Source organism: Homo sapiens, chromosome 1, assembly GCF_000001405.40.
Source record: "Homo sapiens chromosome 1, GRCh38.p14 Primary Assembly".
In the NCBI taxonomy this organism is placed as follows: domain Eukaryota; kingdom Metazoa; phylum Chordata; class Mammalia; order Primates; family Hominidae; genus Homo; species Homo sapiens.
In genome coordinates, this window is record NC_000001.11 from 27,418,630 (window position 1) to 27,439,990 (window position 21,361).

Here is a 21,361-nt window from a genome sequence, read left to right on the forward strand (position 1 = left end):
AAGGTTTACTATGTGGCCAGATCTAGCAGGCCTCTCCTTAGGAGGAATGAATCTTCCAAGTACTTTTATGGTAGCAAAATACGATTGAGGGAGGGGAAATTTGAGAAAGAAGGAATTGGGGGAATGGGAGAAAGGAGTGCATGGGGGTGTGGTGGAGCTAAAAAGGTTCTTTCCAGCACTCAGGCTTGTGTGATTTCAAAGCAGAACTCTATAGGTCTCTGTGATTTCTCTCCTCACGTTTTTTTTTTTTTAAATAAATCAGGGAAAAAAAATTCTACAAAACTGCTCAGCAGAGCCTGCAAATGCTGAGCTCAGCTTTCTTACCTTCTTCTTCCTTGGGATCCAGCTGAGTGACTTTAACCTGTAGTCGGTCGACCCTCTCAGCAAGGGAGCTTACCCGAGAGGCAAAGGTATTTGCCTGAGTAAAGAGCTCTCCAAAAATGTCCTCTGCATATTTACCTGGAAAGAGCAAAGAAACCAAGTCACTAGTGCATAGAAGTAACGTAAATGGTCACAAAAACTGGCTACTAAAGATCGTGTTCCCTAACCCCCAAACACATACATATACACACACATACCCTAAGACGGTTTGGGCTATATGCAGATGACTGCTCTTAGAGACAGAGAAATACTCTTCATAGTTTAGGAAGCCTGCATATGTTCTATAACTAATAGAGTCTTCTTGACAGACGTGAACAGTCATGAGACTCAAAACAGGCTGAATAAAACTGAAAGGTGTAATGCAAAAAATTAAGCCTGGAAGAAAAGATAATATTTCTACACATTTCCAGCCTGGGCAACATGGGGAAACCCCGTCTCTACTAAAAATACAAAAATTAGACAGGCGTGCTGGCAGGCACCTATAATCCCAGCTACTGGGGAGGTTGAGGCAGGAGAATTGCTTGACCTCGGGAGGCGGAGGTTGCAGTGAGCCAAGACCGAGCCACTGCACCCCATCCTGGGTGACGGAGCGAGACTCCAAATAAAATAAACACTACACATTTGCCTATAGCCCTTAGCCTCTTGCTGTTCTGTAAAAGTACCTTATAAAACGGTTCTGAAAAACAGATTGGGAGTTCAGAGGACGTTCTACGTATCTAAAATTAACATGAAAAATAGGAAATTAGTTCCTCAATGGAGCCTTGAAAATACAGTGAACAACTATGATCAGTTGTGTTATCTTTGAGGGGCCCTGAGCTTATCAACAAGCCATAGCAGAGATATACAACTTCTTTTAAGAGGTGGGAAGGTTCCTTTATGTTTTATAACTTATAATTTTTTTTTCTTTTTTTGGAGACAGAGTTTCCCTCTGTCACCCAGGCTGCAGTACAGTGGCGTGATCTCGGCTCACTGCAACCTCCATCTCCTGGGCTCAAGCGATTCTCATGTATTAGCCTCCCGAGTAACTGGGATTACAGATGCGCACCACCATGCCAAACTAATTTTTGTATTTTTGGTAGAGATGGGGATTTGCCAGGTTGCCCAGGCTGGTCTCAAACTCCTGGCCTCAAGTGATCCGCCCACCTTGGCCTCCCGAAGTGCTGGGATTACAGGTGTTCTAGCCACCATGCCCGGCTTGTAACCTATAACTTTCAAAGTCTGCTCTAGGTTACAATCCTTCAAATCTACATCTCAGGAACCAAGTGAAAAGCTGAAACTTTCAAGCCCTCTCTGAAAAACAACATAGCAGTGGTCTCTTTCCACAATGTCTTGTTTTTTAGAAAAAGAAAAGTTCCGTACTTTCAACCCTGGAATGCAAGGAGAATTTGCAGCCAAAGAAACATAACAGCAATTTGACACTACCTCTATATTGTCATTCCAAGCCACAGGCACATTCTTACTAGGAATGAAAAGTGGTGCATACAAATAAATATACCATCTGAGCTTTTTTTTTTTTTTTTTTTTTTTTGAGACAGAGTCTTGCTCTATCCCCCAGGTGGAGTGCAGTGGCACGCAATCTCAGCTCACTGCAGCCTCTGCCTCCCGCGTTCAAGTGATTCTCCTGCCTCAGCCTCCTGAGTAGCTGGGATTACAGGTGCCTGCCACAACGCCCGGCTCATTTTTTGTATTTTTAGTAGAGACGGGGTTTCATCATGTTGGCCAGGCTGGTCTTGAACTCCTGACCTCAGGTGATCTGCCCACCTCAGCCTCCCAAAGTACTGGGATTACATGCATGAGCCACCACGCCCGGGCCTACCATCTGAGCTTCTTGCAAGGTGAAGGCACGCATAAGAGACTGTGCCCAATCAAATGATAATCTTTTTTTGAGAACTATTTAAAGTAGGCTCTAATTTTTAGCTTCAAAACTACATTTATGCTTAGTCCATATTTGAGGGGGAAAAAATAGCCTGAAAGGCCAAAACCACACCTTCAGGGTGAACTGCAGCTCACCTTCCCAGTACAACCTGAAGAGTGGGGATAAGACCAATCAACTGCATATTTTGAATTGCTGGTAAATTTAAGTCAATAAGGACTTCTAATCAAGGAAGAAGCAAGTCCTTGCATATTGATCGTTTGTGACCTAAACAACTATGGGACGCTCCTGAGCTCAAAGAACTCAAATTGGCTGACAAGCATTTCTACTCTGCAGGTTGAGGATTTTATTTGATCCCTGTTCTAATATGGCTAAGTTCCTATGAAAACCATACTGTATCATGCTTGTCTAGGTAATGGAAAATTGTGTTTGGAAGGCTGAAACAGAGAAATATGCAACATTATGTGTGGAAAACAAACCAAGCTCAAAAATATCTGTTAAAAATAAAAGAAGGCTAGGCATGGTGGCTCATGCCTGTAATCCCATCACTTTGGGAGGCCAAGGTGGGCAGATCACTTGAGGCCAGAAGTTTGAGACCAGCATGGGCAATATGGCAAAACCCTGCCTCTAATAAAATTACAAAAAAATTAGGCCAGGCGTGGTGGCTCATGACTATAATCCCAGCACTTTGGGAGGCCAAGGGAGGCAGATCACCTAAGGTCAGGAGTTTGAGACCAGCCTGGCCAACATGGTGAAACCCCATCTCTACTAATAATACAAAAATGAGATGGGCATGGTGGCAGGCGCCTGTAATCCCAGCTACTCAGGAGGCTGAGGCAGAAGAATTGCGTGAACCTGGGAGACAGAGGTTGCAGTGAGCCAAGATCGCGCCATTGCACTCTAGCCTAGGTGAGACAGCGAGACTCCATCTCAAAAAAAAAAATTAGCTGGGCGTGGTGGCGGACACCTGTAATCCCAGCTACTCAGGAGGTTGAGGCATGAGAATCACTTGAACTTGGGAGGCAGAGGTTGCAGTGAGCCCAGATCATGCCACTGTACTCCAGCCTATCTCAAAAATAATAATAATAAATAAAATGAAATAAAAGAAAAGAAAAAAGAAAAATATCTATTAACCATCCAGCTATTCTGGAGGGGGAAAAAAAAAAAACAATCAACTTACACCAAGAGTCACCAAGAGTACCTAGGATTTCCTGCTCCTTAAGTGAAGGGGATAGTGATAGTAGAAGTAGAGGCTCAGTGTGGCACAGTGGTTTTCAAGAAAAAATCTTACACAGAACCTCAACATATAAAACTGGTAACAATAAGATCTCTGTTTTAAGAGGAAGTGAGGTGGTGTGAAGGCTTCCCCACTATCTCATCACCTCAGGCCCGAGGCAGACTTAGAACTATACTGAGACATGGAAGGAGCAGTTGACTTCAAACCAGAAAATCTGGGCTGGGCGCAGTGGCTCATGCCTGTAATCCCAGCACTTTGGGAGGCTGAGGTGGGCGGATCACGAGGTCAGGAGATCACAACCATCCTGGCTAACACGGTGAAACTCCATCTCTACTAAAAATACAAAAAATTAGCCAGGCGTGTTGGTGGGCGCCTGTAGTCCCAGCTACTCAGGAGGCTGAGGCAGGAGAATTGCATGAACCCAGGAGGCGGAGCTTGCAGTGAGCCGAGATTGTGCCACTGCACTCCAGCCTGGGTGACAGAGCAAGACTCCGTCTCAAAAAAAAAAAAAAAAAAGAAAATTGGAATCAGTCTCAGCTCTTTCTATTTATACTCGTGTACTCATCAGCAAGTCACAATCTCCCAGCCTTAGTTTCCTCATCTGTAAAGTGGGGATAATATCTACCCCATCAAGTTACCATAAGGATTAAGTGAGCTAAAAATGTGAGTTGTTACAATGAGATTCTTCCTTATACTCCTCAACCACATTACATGACTTAAGAGTGTAAATACCTAAGGCCAGACACGGTGGCTCATGCCTATAATCCCAATGCTTTGGGAGGCCGAGGCGGGTGGATCACTGAAGACCAGGAGTTTGAGATCAGCCTGGCCAACATGGTGAAACCCTGTCTCTACTAAAAATATAAAATTTAACCAGGCATGGTGGCACATCATCTTGTAATCCCAGCTACTCAGGAGGCTGATACATGAGAATCGCTTGAGCCCAAGAGGCAAAGGTTGCAGTGAGCCAAGATCATACCACTTCACTTCAGCCTGGGCAACGGAGTGAGACTCCATCTCAAAAAAAAAAAAAAAAAAAGTGTTAATTCTAAATACCCTAAGTTTTTGATTTTCAAATTTTTTTTTTTTATTTTTTAGACAGAGACTTGCTCTGTTGCCCAGGCTGGAATGCAATGGCACAATCTCAGCTCACTGCAACCTCTGCCTCCTGGATTCAAGAGATTCTCCTGCCTCAGCCTCCCAAGTAGAAATACAGGCGCAGGCCCAGCTAATTTTTGTATTTTTAACAGAGAAGGGGTTTCACCATGTTGGCCAGGCTGGTCTCGAACTCCCAACCTCAAGTGATCCGCCTTGGCCTCCTCAAGTGCTGGGATTACAGGCGTGAGCCACTGTGCCCAGCCTAAATACCCTAAGTTTTAAGCTTAGAGGAAAATTTTAAATATAATTCCAATCAGTAATTTGATAGTATCTATTCTTCAAGTGCTAAAAATTACTCCAACTTCTGAAAACAGAAGTGTGATACTGAACTAGGAAAAACCAAAGTGTCTTGTTCAGAGTTAAATTTCACTCACTCAGATTACCAAGACAGACCCAATATCCATCATTATCCAACATTCATACAGATACCACATTTTGCAAAAGATTCTAGGAAGCAGTCTTCAATTTTGTTTTTTCCTTAGCAGAACACTTCAAATGAAATGTTACGTGGAAGTAGAACAGGTAAAACTGATGTTTAAAAATGTGAAGCTGCTCTTATTGAAGTCTGAGTGGGAGTCTTGGAGCTCCCCAATGGCATGCCCCACCCCCTCACCCACACTGCAGTCAGTTAGAAACCCAATATCTAGCTTGATTTTTTAATGACCCAAGTGGGGGTTCCATTCTCCCGAGTGGCCACAATACTGATACAAAGTGCTGGCTGGCTGTGCCTGTATTTCCTAAGATACAGCAACCGAATATGCGAAATGCCAATCTCACTATTCTGAGAAAAAATAAGAATTCTGGATGTGCTGTCACAGAGCCATCTATGGCTGTGGAATTTTTAGTTTTATGCTTTATCCATTCCATAATCAGACTTTCACTACTAAATTGAGAAGTTCCACCCAGGTACAATGCACATGAGGCCAAGGTCATGAGCCTGAAGCACATATGAACCCTTCCCTGCACTCCTCTCAGCTAGATGAAATCCCAGTCATCTTTCAAGGTCCCATTCAAATGTAACCTCTTCTGTGAAGTCTTCCTTGACCCCGCCTATCCCTACCTGTGCCCCCACTACCCACAGAAAGTATTCTTTCCATTCCTACATTCTTTGTGCATCAATAGCACGGAATAGTGGGAAATATATAGGCGTGAATTATTCGACATTTACTGAGTTTCTACTGGGTGACAGGTACTATACAAGGTAGACACTGGGGTTCAAGAACAAACAATACATGATTTCTACCTTCAACAATTTTTTTTTTTTGGTTGCCCAGGCTGGAGTGCAGCAGTGCTATCTCAGCTCACTGCAGCCTTCACCTTCTGGGCTCAAGTGATCCTCCTACCCCAGCCTTGCACCTCAGCCTTCCAAATAGCTGCAAGTACAGGCACACGCCACCACACCCAGCTAATTTCGTTTATATTTTGTAGAGACAGGGTCTCACTATGTTGCCCAAGCTGTCTCAAATTCCAGGGCCCAAGCAATCCTCCCGCCTCCACCTCCCAGAGTGCTAGGATTACAATTGTGCCCAGCCAATAATTTTTAATTGAGACATAGGTGATTTGTGATACAATGTGATAGGATAATATAGGCATGTAACGGGAGCTCAGAGGAACACTCTTAGCCCAACCTGGAAGAGAAGATTCCTGAGCTGGGCCTTGAAGGATCAGCTACAGGCAGCCAGACAGACAAAGATGGCAAGGGCTGTTCAGCCAGTGGGGATAGCAAGAGCACTGTATGGACATATGAGAGAGCATGGTCTGTCTCAGGAGAATTACTAGTAGCTGATAATTCATTCTTTTTTGCTTTCCTTTTTCATTTTATTTATTTATTTGAGACAAGGTCTCGCCCTGTTGGCCAGTGCTGGAGTGGCATGATCATGGCTCACTGCAGCCTTGAACTCCCAGGCTCAAGCGATCCTCCAACCTTATCCTCCCAACCAGCTAGGACTACAGGTGTACAGCACCACACCTGGATAATTTTTTAATTTTTGTAGCGACAGGGTCTCAGTATATTGCCAGGACTGGTCTCGAACTCCTGAGCATAAGCAATACTTGTGTCTCAGCCTCCTAGAGTACTGGGATTACAGGTGTGAGCCACTATGCCAAGCCCCCTTTTTCCATTTTAAAAGACTGTAAAATGAAGGCTGGGCGTGGTGGATCACGCCTGTAATCCCAACACTTTGGGAGGCTGAGGCGGTTGGATCACCTGAGGTCAGGAGTTTGAGACCAGCCTGGCCAACAAGATGAAACCCCGTCTCTACTAAAAATACAAAAAATTGGCCAGGCGCAGTGGCTCACGCTTGTAATCCCGGCACTCTGGGAGGCCCAGGTGGGCGGATCACGAGGTCAGGAGATTAAGACCATCCTGGCTAACACGGTGAAATCCTGTCTCTTCTAAAAATACAAAAAAATTAGCCAGGCATGGTGGCGGGCGCCTGTAGTCCCAGCTACCTGGGAGGCTGAGGCAGGAGAATGGCGTGAACCTGTGAGGCAGAGCTTGCAGTGAGCCGAGGTGGCGCCACTGCACTCCAGCCTGGGCAACAGAGTGAGACTCCGTCTCAAAAAAAAAAAAAAAAAAAAAAAAATTAGCTGGGTGTGGTGGCACATGCCTGTAGTCCCAGCTACTCGGGAGGCTCAGGCAGGAGAATCACTTGAACGCAGAGGCGAAGGCTGCAGGGAGGGACCCGAGATCTCGCCATTGCACTCCAGCCTAGGCAACAAGAGCAAAACTCTGTCTCAAAAACACAAAAATTAAAAAAAAAAATTGTAAAATGGAAGACAGACTGTAGAAAATGAGGCTAGAAAGGAAGGCAGGTCTTGCAGGGTCCTGAATGCTAGGCCAAGGAACTTAAATAATTCCACAGTGAGGAAGAGGGGAGAGAAATAGTTGCGATGTGTACTCTGACTATAAAAACACTTGTTACATTACAAAAGTTAACACAGAACTTTCAAACCTTCAGAAATTCAGAATCATAAAAAGTAAAAAGTGAGATTTGATTTTTAGGCAGATCACTCTGGCAGGGATATAGGAACAGATTTAAGGGGGTTGGATCAGAGAAAGAAGGTAGAGGGAGGCTTGGGTAATAGTTTAGGTGAAAGTCAATGAAGTCTAAACCAGGGCAATATTGGCAGAGACAGCGAGTAAGGGACAGAGCTGAGAAATCTGTAGGAAGTCTGAGTTTAAACAGTGACTTTGCCTCTTACTGGCTGTATCTCTTTAGGCAAGTTAACTTAATTTTTTTTTTTTTTTGAGATGAAGTCTCGCTCTGTCGCCCATGCTGGAGTGCAGTGGCACAATCTCAGCTTACTACAACCTCCGCCTCCCGGATTCAAGCGATTCTCGTGCCTTAGCCTCCCGAGTAGCTGGGATTACAGGTGTGTGACAACATACCTGGCTAATTTTTGTATTTTTTGTAGAGACGGGTTTCACCATGTTGGCCAGGCTGGTCTAGAACTCCTGACCTCAAGTGATCCACACCCTTCAGCCTCCCAAAGTGCTGGGATTACAGGCATGAGCCACTGTGCCTGGCCAAGTTACCTTATTTTTCTGAGCCTTATTTTCTTTATCTGAAAAATGGGAATACCACCACCTAATCTCATAGGATTACTGAGAAGATTAAATGAGATAATCTATGTCAAGATCTTATCCAAACCTGGCATAAAGTAGGCAATCAACAAATGTGGGTTCCCTTCTCACTCTCTTCCCATTCTCTCCTCTTAGGAATTATTTATTTCTGCCTCCCCTTGTAGATTATGAGTCCTGGAGGGCAGAGACAATTTCTTATTATTGCCTCTTATTCTTATTCTTATTGAGTATCCCCTCAGCAGCTGGTACATAAAATATGTTCAACACAAGTTTATTGGATGAATAAAGGATCAGTTAGCCCCCACAATGTAAGAAAATCTTGTTTCCTTGGGCATAAGGTGACTTTGGCCCTCAGATCAGCTTCCCCAAGATAGGAGTGGTCTGATCACAAGTGGGAGTGTGAGCAATGGCATCCATCAACACCACCCTGGAAAAATAGCTGAGAGAGAGCGTAACTTCAGTAAGTGGAAATAAGAAGCATCATTAGCTAGATGTTCTTTGTCCTATGAAGAAGGAACCAGTGTGTGATTGATTGACTTCCACCCATTTGGCCTTCTCAGAGAGAGACAGAGAGAGGCAGAAATTATGCCTTTAAAAAGCAGTGAGGTCTCTGCAGCCTTGATGTGCTTCCTCGTCAGCTGCACTGCTGTTGTGCTACTGTCAGTGTTCCTTTGTGTAAGACAGGCACTGGCAGGGTTTCATTTCTTCATGATGCCCCATCTAGGTTTCTCTAAGCCCTGGATCAACTGAGATGATCCCTGAGGTAGGTGAAGGCTTAGGAATCTCAGACTCCATACATCATCTGGTCATAGAGTTCTGTCTCCTCAGCCTCCTATTTTAAAGGCTGGGCCTATTGCTATACGGGAGAATGCAGGCTTTCTTGATATTCCACTGCCTTCACTAAGGGCAGTGATGCGATAGGAGGGGTGACTATCTGAAATAATTCACACCAAGATGCCTTTGCTAAGGAAGATCACTAAAATGGCATTTTGACGGAGGTTCTTATGGGAGCTGGAGTGGCACTAGATAAATGCAGAGCCAATCCAAGCATCTGCCCTTCCCATATCTCAGCTTCAAGCAAACAAAGTCAACTTGATTCAGAATGAAATCCAAACCACATGCATGTACCCCACCCAAGGCAGTCTCATTCATTCTTGCCAATTAAAAAAATATATATAGTTGAGCTGGCTTTCCTTCAGCTCCAAAACAGTCTGGGCTAACCCCCATCTTCCTCCTAAGGAAGAATGGCTCCAGCTACTATTTGTGTCACTGTATGTTCACACAGCTTGCAAAACTCCCAATACCCCAGAGACTGCAGAAGTAATCTGTACCCTGAACTTGGACCTGGGGGCTTGCAGCACAATTAAATGTGTACCAGGGTGGACAAGTCAGTCAGAATCTCTCCGAAGGCATGTTTGCTTTACTCCTCTTTGGGAAGAAAAGGGGTGGGGGTGTTGGGTAGATAAAAACTATTGGCACATTTGAGGCTTCAACAAAGTCAGGCTACATCGAACAGCTCGTGTAATTACAGGCACATTCCCCGACCCAAGATACTGCTCTGTGAACCTCCCACTTTACACACACAGAATTCTGCTCTGTCATTCCGTCTGCAGTTTTTGCTGCAGCCCTTCCTGCCACCCTTCCCACAGATTTCTGTTGAAGCAGGTGGAGGGGGAGGGAGGAGGGAACCTAGAGGGTGGTGGTAGATAAAGAAGGTTGAAGAGAAGAAGCTACACCAAAAGGGAGCCTCTCTTTGGGGAGGAGAGGGAGGATACATTTTCGCATTACCTAGGGAAGGCAGATGGGGGAGAAATAGGAACGCGGGAGGAGAAGGAAACTAAATAAAGAGCACCAACGACCCCTGAGGGCAAAGCACAGGCTCTCTGAGGCACTCACTCAGGCTGCCCAGCTGTCGGATGACATTTGCCAGGGTGATGTTGGTCACGCATTCCAGCTCGCTTCTAACGCTAGGCAACGTCTGACGGCACAGGTGCCTTGGCTCGATGTTCCTCGTTACTAACGGCATGGTGGACCTGCTTCAGGCAATGTTCTGAATGGTGAAAAACAACCTAAAAAAGAAATAACAGGAAAGTATTACTCAACCACAAATTCCAGGCACACTAGGGCTGTGTGAATCTTTTTTTTTTTTTTTTTTGGTCTTACCCTGATCTAAAACAGCTTTAAAAAAAATCTTCATTCTCCCTATCTTTTTTTTTCTTTCATTTTTAAGTCCTCTCTCCCTTGCCCTTTTTAAGGTTTGCTATTAGAAGATCTGCTATGTAAGTTTAGAAATTCTGGACTTGGTGACTGCTGCCTGAGGTACATAGGCAGCATAGAAACATTAAAGTGCCAACTACTGCTCCAACCAACAAGAGTCTCCAGAGGCAAGGAGGCATGGTTAGAAAACAGCCCATTCAGCAGACACTGGACGGTACAGATCCTATCCCTGGGGTGTTCATAACCAGGACAGATCAGATTCTAGGCCACCAATTATAAAGATCAAAAAAGAACACTGTCACCTGATAATCTCCACAACGAAATCAAGCTGCCAATAGTGATTGATATACATCAGGATTAACTTTTCCAGTCCTTCCTTGGTAAATGGCTGTTAATGTATAGCTAACCACTAGGCCGGGCATGGTGGCTCACGCCTGTAATCCCAGCACTTTGGGAGGCTGAGGCAGGTGGATCACCTAAGGCCAGGAGTTCGAGAGCAGCCTGGCCAAGATGGTGAAACCCTGTCTTTAGTAAAAATACAAAAAATTGGCCAGGCGTGTCGCGGGTGCCTGTAATCCCAGTTACTGAGGAGGCTGAGGCAGGAAAATTGCTTGAACCCGGAAAGCAGAGGTTGCAGTGAGCTGAGATTGCGCCATTGCACTCCAGCCTGGGTGACAAGAGCAAGACTCCGTCTCAAAAAAAAAAAAAAAAGTATAGCTAACTACTAATGCCAGTATCTCTTAAGTTTAGTTTGTAAATTGACTGAACGAGAGAATATAAAGTAAAAATTTTACACATTCAATATGTCAAACATGATGCTGAGTAAACTGTGCTGTAAGATTCCCTGGTGCTTTCTCTTCTACCCAACAGCTCCCTTTCTTGCTCCCATCCGGTTCAACACACCTGGGCCAAAAGGCTCTAGAGACAGCAGGAAATGTCTGGAGCAGATCCGGAAACCTTCCAGTTACTGTTTCTTATCCGGTGGGCTGAGCCCCTTTCCCTAGGAAATCCCCCAGCACTTCAGGTTCATGCTGAGCTATTGTTTTAGATTTAGATTACCGAATTCCTAGTTTTACAAGGATAGGAGAGGGTTTTAATTTCCACAAAATGGATATGACTACAGTCAAGGCACAATGAACTGATCCTCTTTCCACATCTTATAAAACTAAAGAAATCTAAAACAGCCTAATGGTTTTCATGCTAGGGAAAATGACAAATTCACTTCACATGAAAAGGTAAAGCATAAAGTTAACATACCTAAGTCCTCAATTTTTTTTCTTATTTTTTATTCTTTTTTGAGACAGGGTCTCGCTCTGTCACCCAGGCTAGAGTGCAGTGGCACGATCTCAGCTCACTGCAACCTCCACCTACTGGGCTCAAGCGATCCTCCTGCCTCAGCCTCCCAAGTAGTTAGGATTACAGGCATGCACCACCACGCCCAGCTAATTTTTGTATTTTTTTGTAGAGATGAGGTTTTGCCATGTAGCCCAGACTTGTCTCGAACTCCTGAGCTCAGCCTCCCAAAGTGCTGGGACTATAAGCATGAGCCACCACGCCCAGCCTTTTTGTTTTTTTGAGACGGGGTCTCACTCTGTCATCCAGTATGGAGTGCAATGGTGCGATCACAGCTCACTACATTCTTGACCGCCTTGCTCAAATGATCCTCCTACCTTAGCTTTCCGAATAGCTGGGCCAAGTCCCCAATATTATAAACTCCTCTTTATATATTTAAAAAAAAAAAAAAGCAAAACAAGGGTTTATTTACATCAAATCTTAAAATACCAGCTCATCACCAAAACGTTGACTGTGAATACAAAATGCTTAAACCAAACTAAATATTACAGACATATTGTCTGACCAAAAGAGAAAAAAAAATCTTTCAGGCTCAAAGGGGGAGTAGAACCCTTCGGAACAGACTGCTCCTTGTTATGGACATTCTGATCTGCTACAAGTAAAAATAAAACAGGAAGCCAGCAGCTTGGGGAACAAGATTTCCTGTCACCAACAGCAACAGCCCAAGAACCAAGAGAATCAGCTGTTTGCTTATAACTTTGAACCTCCCTTTAATAGTCACTGTGTGGCAGCTGTGCCTATCTTTGGGGTGCAGAGGTGTTTCCTGAATACTTGTCTACTGTCTAAGGAAATGATTTCCATTCCACTTCTCTGCTGAATTCCCCCTTTGACCCCATGGGTTTTCTAGTCCAAACCCTGGACTTTCCAATTTAACTCTTTCCCTCTTTTATTTAATGTAAAGGGTATCAGGTACTAAGATGCAATCTTCAGTAACACATGGTAAAGAGAGTTTAGAACAGGAAAGGTGGGAGGAGGTTACATATGAAAGAACCTTGCAGGGCTCTGAACACCATCCTCTAGGTGTCCTTAGATTCCCAAATTTCAAACTTTCAAGATCAACCAGAAATTTGGTGTACAGCCAGGAATGACTGGAAACAGCCACTGTGGCTCTTCCACTGGTAATCATTTGAGTACTCATTCCAGCTTCTCAGAGGAGCTAAAAGAACCAGACCACCTTGAAATGCTGTGCTGAATGTGACCAATGACAGGGCATTCTGGACTTTCCCTCTGGATACCTAATGGAAACTAGATTCCAGATGGCTACATAAATTTCAGATTGAGGGTGGGGGGCAAATTCTAACACCTTGGTACTTTAGCACTTATGGTTTTCTAAGTGCCTTGGATAAGCAGAACAAACAACTAACTGTATGTCATCTGTTTGGGGTTTACCTGGAACCAAGTTTTCTAAAGCAAATGGCTTATTGTCAAAAAGGCCACTTACCACAACCAGCGGGAGGGTACTCGAGAAATAACAATATGTCAATATCTATTAGGACAAAACAATTAGAAAAGTTTATCTGCTATCGTTTAAAGTGATTTGTTTCAAAGCCACCAAAGAGAGACAAAATTCCTTGTATGTGAAATGACATGCACCATTGCTCATTTTTCTTTTGGATAATCAAGGATTGGTTTGTACAAGAAGCATGGAGTTATGCATGATCTGAACCACAACAGTAACTTGACCAAGAAGAAAAAAATCTTACATTCAGGTGAAAATAAACTTAGAATTGGGCAAAAAGATTTCCAGGCTCTCTCTCTCACACTTCAAGTTATAGAAAATGTATCGGCTTTATGGAGTCGACACATTCTTAGGTTAGCACCCTGACTAGTACACCTTACTGTGTGATCTTGGGGGCAATTTTCCTAGAGACATTAAATAATATATATAAAATAAAAAACCCACTACAGGGCTTTTAAAAAAAGGCAGTTATAGGCCGGGCGCGGTGGCTCACGCCTGTAATTCCAGCACTTTGGGAGGCCGAGGCGGGCGGATCACGAGGTCAGGAGATCGAGACCATCCTGGCTAACATGGTGAAACGCCGTCTCTACTAAAAATACAAAAAATTAGCTGGGCGCGGTGGCAGGCGCCTGTAGTCCCAGCTACTCGGGAGGCTGAGGCAGGAGAATGGTGTGAACCTGGGAGGCGGAGCTTGCAGTGAGCCAAGATCGCGCCACTGCACTCCAGCCTGGGCGACAGAGCGAAACTCTGTCTCAAAAAAAAAAAAAAAAAAAAAAAAGAGGCAGTTATTTGTGGTTCCACAGACCCTAGGCAAATCCTCCTGTAGAATAAATCCTATTCACTGATAAATATTTTATCTTATTATTTAAGAGACAAGGTCTCACTCTGTCACCCAGGCCTCACTCTGTTGCCCAGGTTGGAGTGCAGTGGCATGATCATAGCTCACTGCAACCTCAAACACCTGAGCTCAAGTGATGCTCCCACCTCAGCCTCACAAGTAGCCAGGACTACAGGCACATGCCACCATGCCTGGCTAATTTATTATCTTTTATAGAGATGGGGCCTTGCTATGCTGTCCAGGCTGGTCTCTAACTTTTAGCCTCAAGCAATCTTCCCACCTTGGCCTCCCAAAGTGCTGGGATTACAGGTGTAAGCCACCATACCCGGGCCCCTCATTGATAAATATTTAAAAATACTTTTAACCATAGACATATTATATGGTGGAATGCAATATTTACATTAAAAGTTTAAAGACAAAACTCTAGCCTTCAAAGGAATTTGGCAGGTTTTTCCTGGAGGCTGCTTCCAGCTGTGATCCTGGACCTCCTGAAGAACATATACTATCTCTTTCTTCCAGTCTTTCATAACTGGATTCCTCATCTGAACCACAGAACAAAAAGGATGATTAGAGTGACAGTTTTCTCAATTCCCCTCAAGACTGTACATAACTAGCACCATTCTACGCGTACTGGAGAAAAGTTAATATATTACATATAATGAATGCCTAATGACATTAAGATTTAATTCTTTCATGGAACTCCAGTTGAGAAAGGCTCCTCTATCATCAGTAGCACCTTACTGGTATAGTGCACTGGATGTTGGGGAACCACTGAATTATGGAAGGACAACAGGGTCACATTTGCATTTTAGACAAATCATTCTGCATAAGCACAGGAGTTATATTTGGGCAGAAGGCTGGAAGTAAGAAGACCAATTGGGAAATTCTTCACAGGCTGAGAAGGAGAAAGTACAAATGTAAAGGCCCACCCTACCACAGCTAGCAAATATGAACTGAGAAACTAGACAGGTGGCAGTTGCAGGGGTGAGTCCAGCCCCTCAGCCCCACCGGCTGCTCTCTTTAGTTTTATACAGTTATACTCACTAAGTGATAAAATGTATGTTTCTTTATCAAAAGCGTCAGAAAAGAGCTGAATGCTAGCGCCAGTGAAGGAAAACAAAGAGAAAGTGAAGAAAACCAGTGAAGTGGTGGTTCTTGGTCAAAAAAGGAAATTCTGGATACATGAAAGAGTGGAATGCCCTATCTTTATGGAATCTGTGAAGGTCTTTTTCAGACATCTTTTACTTTGATTAGGGAAATTATATACTATAGTGATATCTGCTAATTTGGGGATTTGAGAAGGTCTTACCTTGGGAGATGTCAAATAGGAGAGCAATTAAATTAGAACTGCTGAGAATATAAAAGTTACAGGGAAGTAGATTTCAATTTATCTAGGTCATTTTAATTAGAATTGTCCGATAGTAGAATGGCTTATCTTTAGATAAGGTTATGAGTTCTCCAGCCCTGTGCTCTGGATGACCAGCTATCAGGCACGTTGGGGGAGAAATTTCTAGCATTTATGAAGGTGTTGGAAAGTCAGACTAGATGACCTCTACAATGCCTTCTAAATCAAAGATGTTATAATTTTTATTCTGGGCTTTGTGTCCTCATCTACAAAATAAATGGACTAAGCTAAACATCTTTTAGAAGCTTCCCAGCTCTAAAATTTCTAGATGTGCTTCTACCCAAGCTGCCATGATCTCCTCACTCAGCCAACATCCACTTGCATTCTGAACACACAATCAGAGGCACATTTAGGGACTGTAGAGAGGGGCAGATTATAGCCATGAATCATGCCCCTTCTCCAGGTCTACATCTGTCTAATTACTAGGACCTGTGAGATCTAGAATGGCCCAAAGGAAGTTCCAGACAGAGCCCTGAGGTTATTTATACCCAAGGGGCTCCTGGACTGATCAAGGAGTTAGCTACCCAAAAAATTTCAAAGAAAAACTGTATTTTGGACCAGCTCCAGACATCCAGGCCAGATTCAGCAGTAACCCCATCTTCATCTGTAGCAAGTTTCAGCCTAAGGGACTTGAGAATGAGTCTGAAAACAAATAAAAGACTGCCAGAACTTCCTAGCCATGGCCTGGCAGTACCAGTCTGGACTGTTAGTGCCATGATGGCATTCGTGCTTTGAAATGGAAACTGGATGAGGCCCTTTAAGGTCCCCTCAAACAGTGAGATTCTTCAAGTCTGTATATTTGAAGTTATCATGCAATTTTTTTTTTTTAGACGGAGTTTTGCTCTTGTTGCCCAGGCTGGAGTACAATGGCACAATCTCGGCTCACCACAACCTCCGCCTCCCAGGTTCAAGCAATTCTCCTGCCTCAGCCTTCCCAAGTAGCTGGGATTACAGGCATACAGCACCATGCCCACTAATTTTTGTATTTTTAGTAGAGATGGGGTTTCTCCATGTTGGTCAGGCTGGTCTCGAACTCCTGACCTAAGTGATCCGCCCACCTTGGCCTCCCAAAGTGTTGGGATTACGGGCGTGAGCCACCATGCCCAGCCTATCATGGAATACTTTTATATATCACCTTTGGTCAGTATAAAGTTAAAAAGAGACTCGGGCCAGGCACAGTAGCTCGCACCTGTAATCCCAACACTTTGGGAGCTGAGACCGGAAGATTGCTTGAGCTCAGGAGTTCAAGACCAGCTTGGGCAAAAAAGCCAGACCCTGTCTCTGCAAAAAATTTTAAAAATTAGCTGGGTGTGTGGTGCTACATGCCTATAGTCTCAGCTACTTGGGAAGCTGAGGTGGGAGGATCACTTGAATCCAGAAGGTTGAGGCTGCAGTGTGTATGATTGTGCCACTGCACTCCAGTCTAGGCAACGGAGACTCTGATATCCACCCTACTTTCTGAACTCTCATGACTGCTCCCAACAGCCTGGGGTGGGGTGGGGTGGGGTGGGATGGGGTGAGCTGGGGGTTGGAGGGTAGAAGAAAACAAAAAGGGAGGGATATCTGTGAGAGAAGGGAGGATGCACTCATCTGTGCCCCACACTCTGAACTCCTGTTATTACCAGAAGACAGATAGATGACTGCTCATTCTTCTGGCTATGTTTATTACTAGCTGTTCATGACAAATAAACAATGCTACATTTTGAGCCAAGGTCACTGATAACACCTGCAGATTTCTATGGTCACATCCAAAAAGCAAACATATTTGAGCTATAGCAATAACCATCACAACAGAAATGCTTCTCAAGGCAGTTCCTCTTTGAAACATACCCCCAAAATGCTGATCAGCAGTAGCAGGGGATGGAACATGTGGGGATGTTGCATGTGTGGCAATTAGGACTTCTGCTTTCACTTCAGCGTTTCCCACTGTTCTATAGTTAACAGCACTTTGGATGGGGACATATGAGAAGAGGTTTACTCTTGAGTTTCCTCTTTCAAGAGATACATTTCTTTATGTTAAAGAACATGGCTGGGTGTAGTGATTCACACCTGTAATCCTAATACTTTGGGAGGCAGCAGCAGGAGGACTGCTTGAGCCCAGGAATTCGAAACCAGCCTGGGCAATATAGCCAGACCTCATCTCTATTAAAAACAAAAAGATTAGCTGGGTGTAGTGGCATGCGGCTGTAGTCCCAGCTACTCAGGGGGCTCAGGCAGGAGGACTGAGGATTGCTTGAGCCTTGGAGGTTGCAGAGAGCTACGATCACACCAGCTGGAGTGGTTGCACTCCAGCCTGGGTGACAGAGCCAGACCCTGTCTCAAAAAGAAAGAAACAAAAAAGAAAAAGAATATGCATTTCACTAGGTTTAAGAATTTCAGTTGGAAAGTCGAATAGTCATTTGACTTCAAAATGACAGACAATACATGGTCTTACTGAAATTTAAGTCTGTATATTAAAATGTTTAAAGTATGAATTTACTGTTGCATATAGCAGTCCTCATTACCATGCAGCAACTACAAGGAAGAACACTTCATTATAAGCTTAGGCACCCACCCACTTCCTGTTGAAATACAGGGTGGGGCTAAACTAACAAATATAACCACACTCTCTCTCCAAGCACAAGGAATGACAAATCTGTTTAGGTCACTAAAACAATGTCCAAAGGAGCTAGTAGGACAGAAATGGAACTCCTGCGGTAGATACAGAAAGTATTTGACTGGGAAAACTGAGAAAAAGGGCTTACTTGTGATCTAAAAGAGATATTTCCAATTTCATAAAGGAATGACACACCAATTTTGTGCCTACATCCAATCAGTGTAGGGATACTTCTTGTCTTGATATGGCTTTAAGACAGTAGCTGAGGAAACAGAACTTCTAAACTCCAGTATCTTACTCCTTGAGCATAAGGTACATCTATGAAGGACCATTCATTCACACCTGGTAATTCCATAACTTTTTATTATCTTTTGGGGGCAATAGCACCTTTTGTTCTTACCCTTTTACACTTAAGGGTCTAATCATAGTTTCGTTCTTAAAACTAAAATTGGGGGAATCTCTTTAACCTTCAAAATTGGTTTCTTCTAGTATCAACTTTTTCATAGAAAACTGTCTTTTAAATGGCCAAAATTAGACTCTCTTTTTAGCAGGATCCATCTGGTTGTCCAAAAGAAAATACATTTAAACTGTGAGTTGGAAACCTGGATTCTAGCTTTCAATCTAATGATGACAGGCAATCGGGGATAAAATTTCAATTCATCCCTCTAGTCCAGCTGTAAACTACACTAAAAAATGCTTGAAAGATGCTATATGAAACAGAGATTTTGTATGCAAAGTATTCTGAGCTCTGAGGAAAAGATTTACCCGCATAAAGTATTTCTTGTATCTCCATCTTGGCCCAATTCCTTGTTATGGATCCACTTAAATTACACAGGATCTACAATGTGGTCACTGATGACTTTCAGTTACAGACAAAGTTCATTTTACTTTCCCAATCTAATGCCAATTTCTAGTAAAACCCATATCACCAAAATTGTATGGTTTGAAATACTTCAAACTACCCATCTAAATGGGCTTTTACTTTGATTGGATAAATATAGATTATGAATAATTGTACTTATAAATGGAGAAATCTTACCCTTTACTCCTAATAAGGTATCAGATTTCTTTCAGCCATTGTCATCAACTGAACATTAAATTTACACAGGAGTTTAACATGAAAAACAACTAAGCTGTTCTGAAAAAACAACACCCACACACAAAACAAAAAAAGTATCAAACCTCAACAAATCAGTTCAAATCATTCACTAGATTACTAGAAATATGTCAATAACTCACACAAGCCCCAATAAAATACCCTTCATATTTAAACGATTCTTTTTAAATTTATAGCCAATGACAGAAGAGAGTGCTCTCCAGTTGATGGTACCCAGAAATTTGAGATAAGAGGACAGATACAAAATGCATTCCTCTCCAAGTACCTGGGAGGAAGCCAAACCTGGGCATGTATTCTCCCAGACAAACAGCCAAAAGTCCAATACACAGCTTGGTTTTATGGAAGGGTCTAACCCCATTTTACTATCATACTATGCGATGGAGAAGATGGGGCTAGACTGCAACCTTTCTTTCTTGGCTCTTGCAAGCAGCACTGAGTACTGTACTAGGTTAAACTTCCTTTGGTCAAGGTATTAGAGTACCCACTGGTGGATTAGCTACAGTGGCAGGTTTGAAAATAGAAGAGGAAGGAGATAATAAGAGCTGAACTGCACATCAGGCACTAAGTCTCAATTCACCTGGCTAGCTGTGTAACCATTTGTTTTAATTGTTATGATGCCTTACTTCTTATTTCAAGCTTCTCTTTGCAGTAACTGCACCCTCTCTGGGATGGAAAGACCAAGAAAGAAACCAACTTTACACAACTGAGAAAGGCCAGGGAAAAGATGGTTGCAGAGCAACAACAAAAAGAAAATTCAGCAAAATGTTTTGTTGACACTTCAGGGCAATACACAAACACACTGTGTGGTCATGGAGCAGGTGGGCGGAAGCAGCAGTCCTGAGATGTGACTATTAATACACCAACTTAAGTGAGGAGAGAGACCTAGCAATCACAACTACATGTGAGACAAGGAGTGGAATTATGGAGCAAATTGCCATGCAATTCCATATGAACTACTCAATAGCCAGCTGTAACAAGAATTCATTCCTGAAAAAGTGTCACACACATATCTGTCACTAATGGCCAAGCCACCAGCAACTGACTAAGAGTCAGCAGCAAAGGGCAGCTGTACATCTACTTCCTCTCACAACATTCAGTCAGCACTCAAAGCATGAGACTTACAAGCTAAAGTCCTTGAGCAGAGGGAAAAATAAGTATCTGTTCTTTCCTTTCTAACCTCAGTTTACCAGGAAGTTGCCAAAGCCCTAAAAATCTAGTAAGCAGTGGGGCAGAGCAAGAGCATGAACATTAAGAGACACAGGTGTGGGTTTCACTCCACCACTGCCACATTTTATAGCTTTGGAACCTTGGCAAGCAGTCTCTCAGTCTATTTCCTAGCCTGTTAAATCATTATCATGACCCCTTGTCTGTAAAGTTGTTGTGAAGAAAAATGAAATAATGCATGTATAAAACGTTTAGCACAGTGCCTAGCACAGAATAATTAAAACAACAGTAGTAGTAATAGTAGTATCATGGTAGTAGTGGTGGTGGTAGTAGTAGTAGCAGTAGAATGATTGACATCTATCTAGCACATGCCCTGTTCTAAATGTTTATATATGGTTCTCTTAAGCATTATACAATACTGTCTTAATAAGCTTCAGGTCGTATTAATGGTTAACTACTAATTATAGTGCTGTTATCAATCACTGAATATTTATCAAGAAGACACTAAAAGACACAAAGAAGTATAAAATCTCTTCCCTTGACTCCAGGAGCTTATAATTTAGTTCAGAGAGAGAGAAAACCACAGTTAAGTAACAATATAGCAAATAAATAGAAGTTCAATTATGACAATAGAAAGGATGAAAAGATCACTGTGAACTGAAGGGACTGAACAGACTCCTTGGAACCTTAAAGATCTGAACTGGGGCTGGGTGCAGTGGCTCATGCCTGTAATCCCAGCACTTTGGGAGGCCGAGGTGGAGGATCACTTCAGCCTAGGAGGTCAAGATTAGCCTGGGCAACATGGTGAGACCTTGTCTCTACAAAAAAAATTAAAAGTTAGCCAGGTGTAGTGGTACACACCTGTAGTCCCATCTACTTGAGAAGCTGAGGCAGGAGAATCACTTTAACGCGGGACGTTGAAGCTGCAATGAGCCAAGATCCATGCCACTGCCCTCCAGCCTTTGAGACAGAATGAG

The 21,361-nt window shown here is 43.3% G+C and overlaps 1 protein-coding gene across 2 annotated transcripts in view, besides 1 other annotated feature; it reads right to left on the reverse strand.

Moving 5' to 3' along the window:
- The window catches only part of WASF2 (WASP family member 2), an 85,938-nt gene that overhangs the window by 14,400 nt on the left and 50,177 nt on the right, over positions 1-21,361 (reverse strand). For both annotated transcript variants that reach the window (NM_001201404.3, NM_006990.5), the window contains exons 2-3: positions 10,132-10,304; positions 325-459 (exon numbers count right to left, since the gene is read on the reverse strand). In NM_001201404.3, coding sequence (NP_001188333.1) covers positions 325-459; positions 10,132-10,261 — 265 coding nt within the window. In that variant the 5' untranslated portion in view covers positions 10,262-10,304. The remainder of the gene's footprint in view (positions 1-324; positions 460-10,131; positions 10,305-21,361) is intronic.
- Positions 11,421-12,394: an enhancer, noted in NCBI's record as "NANOG-H3K27ac-H3K4me1 hESC enhancer chr1:27756559-27757532 (GRCh37/hg19 assembly coordinates)". NCBI's record gives its function as "activates a minimal SCP1, AML or CMV promoter by ChIP-STARR-seq in naive H9 embryonic stem cells {active_cell/tissue: H9 hESC(naive)}" and the evidence as "EXISTENCE:reporter gene assay evidence [ECO:0000049][PMID:30033119]".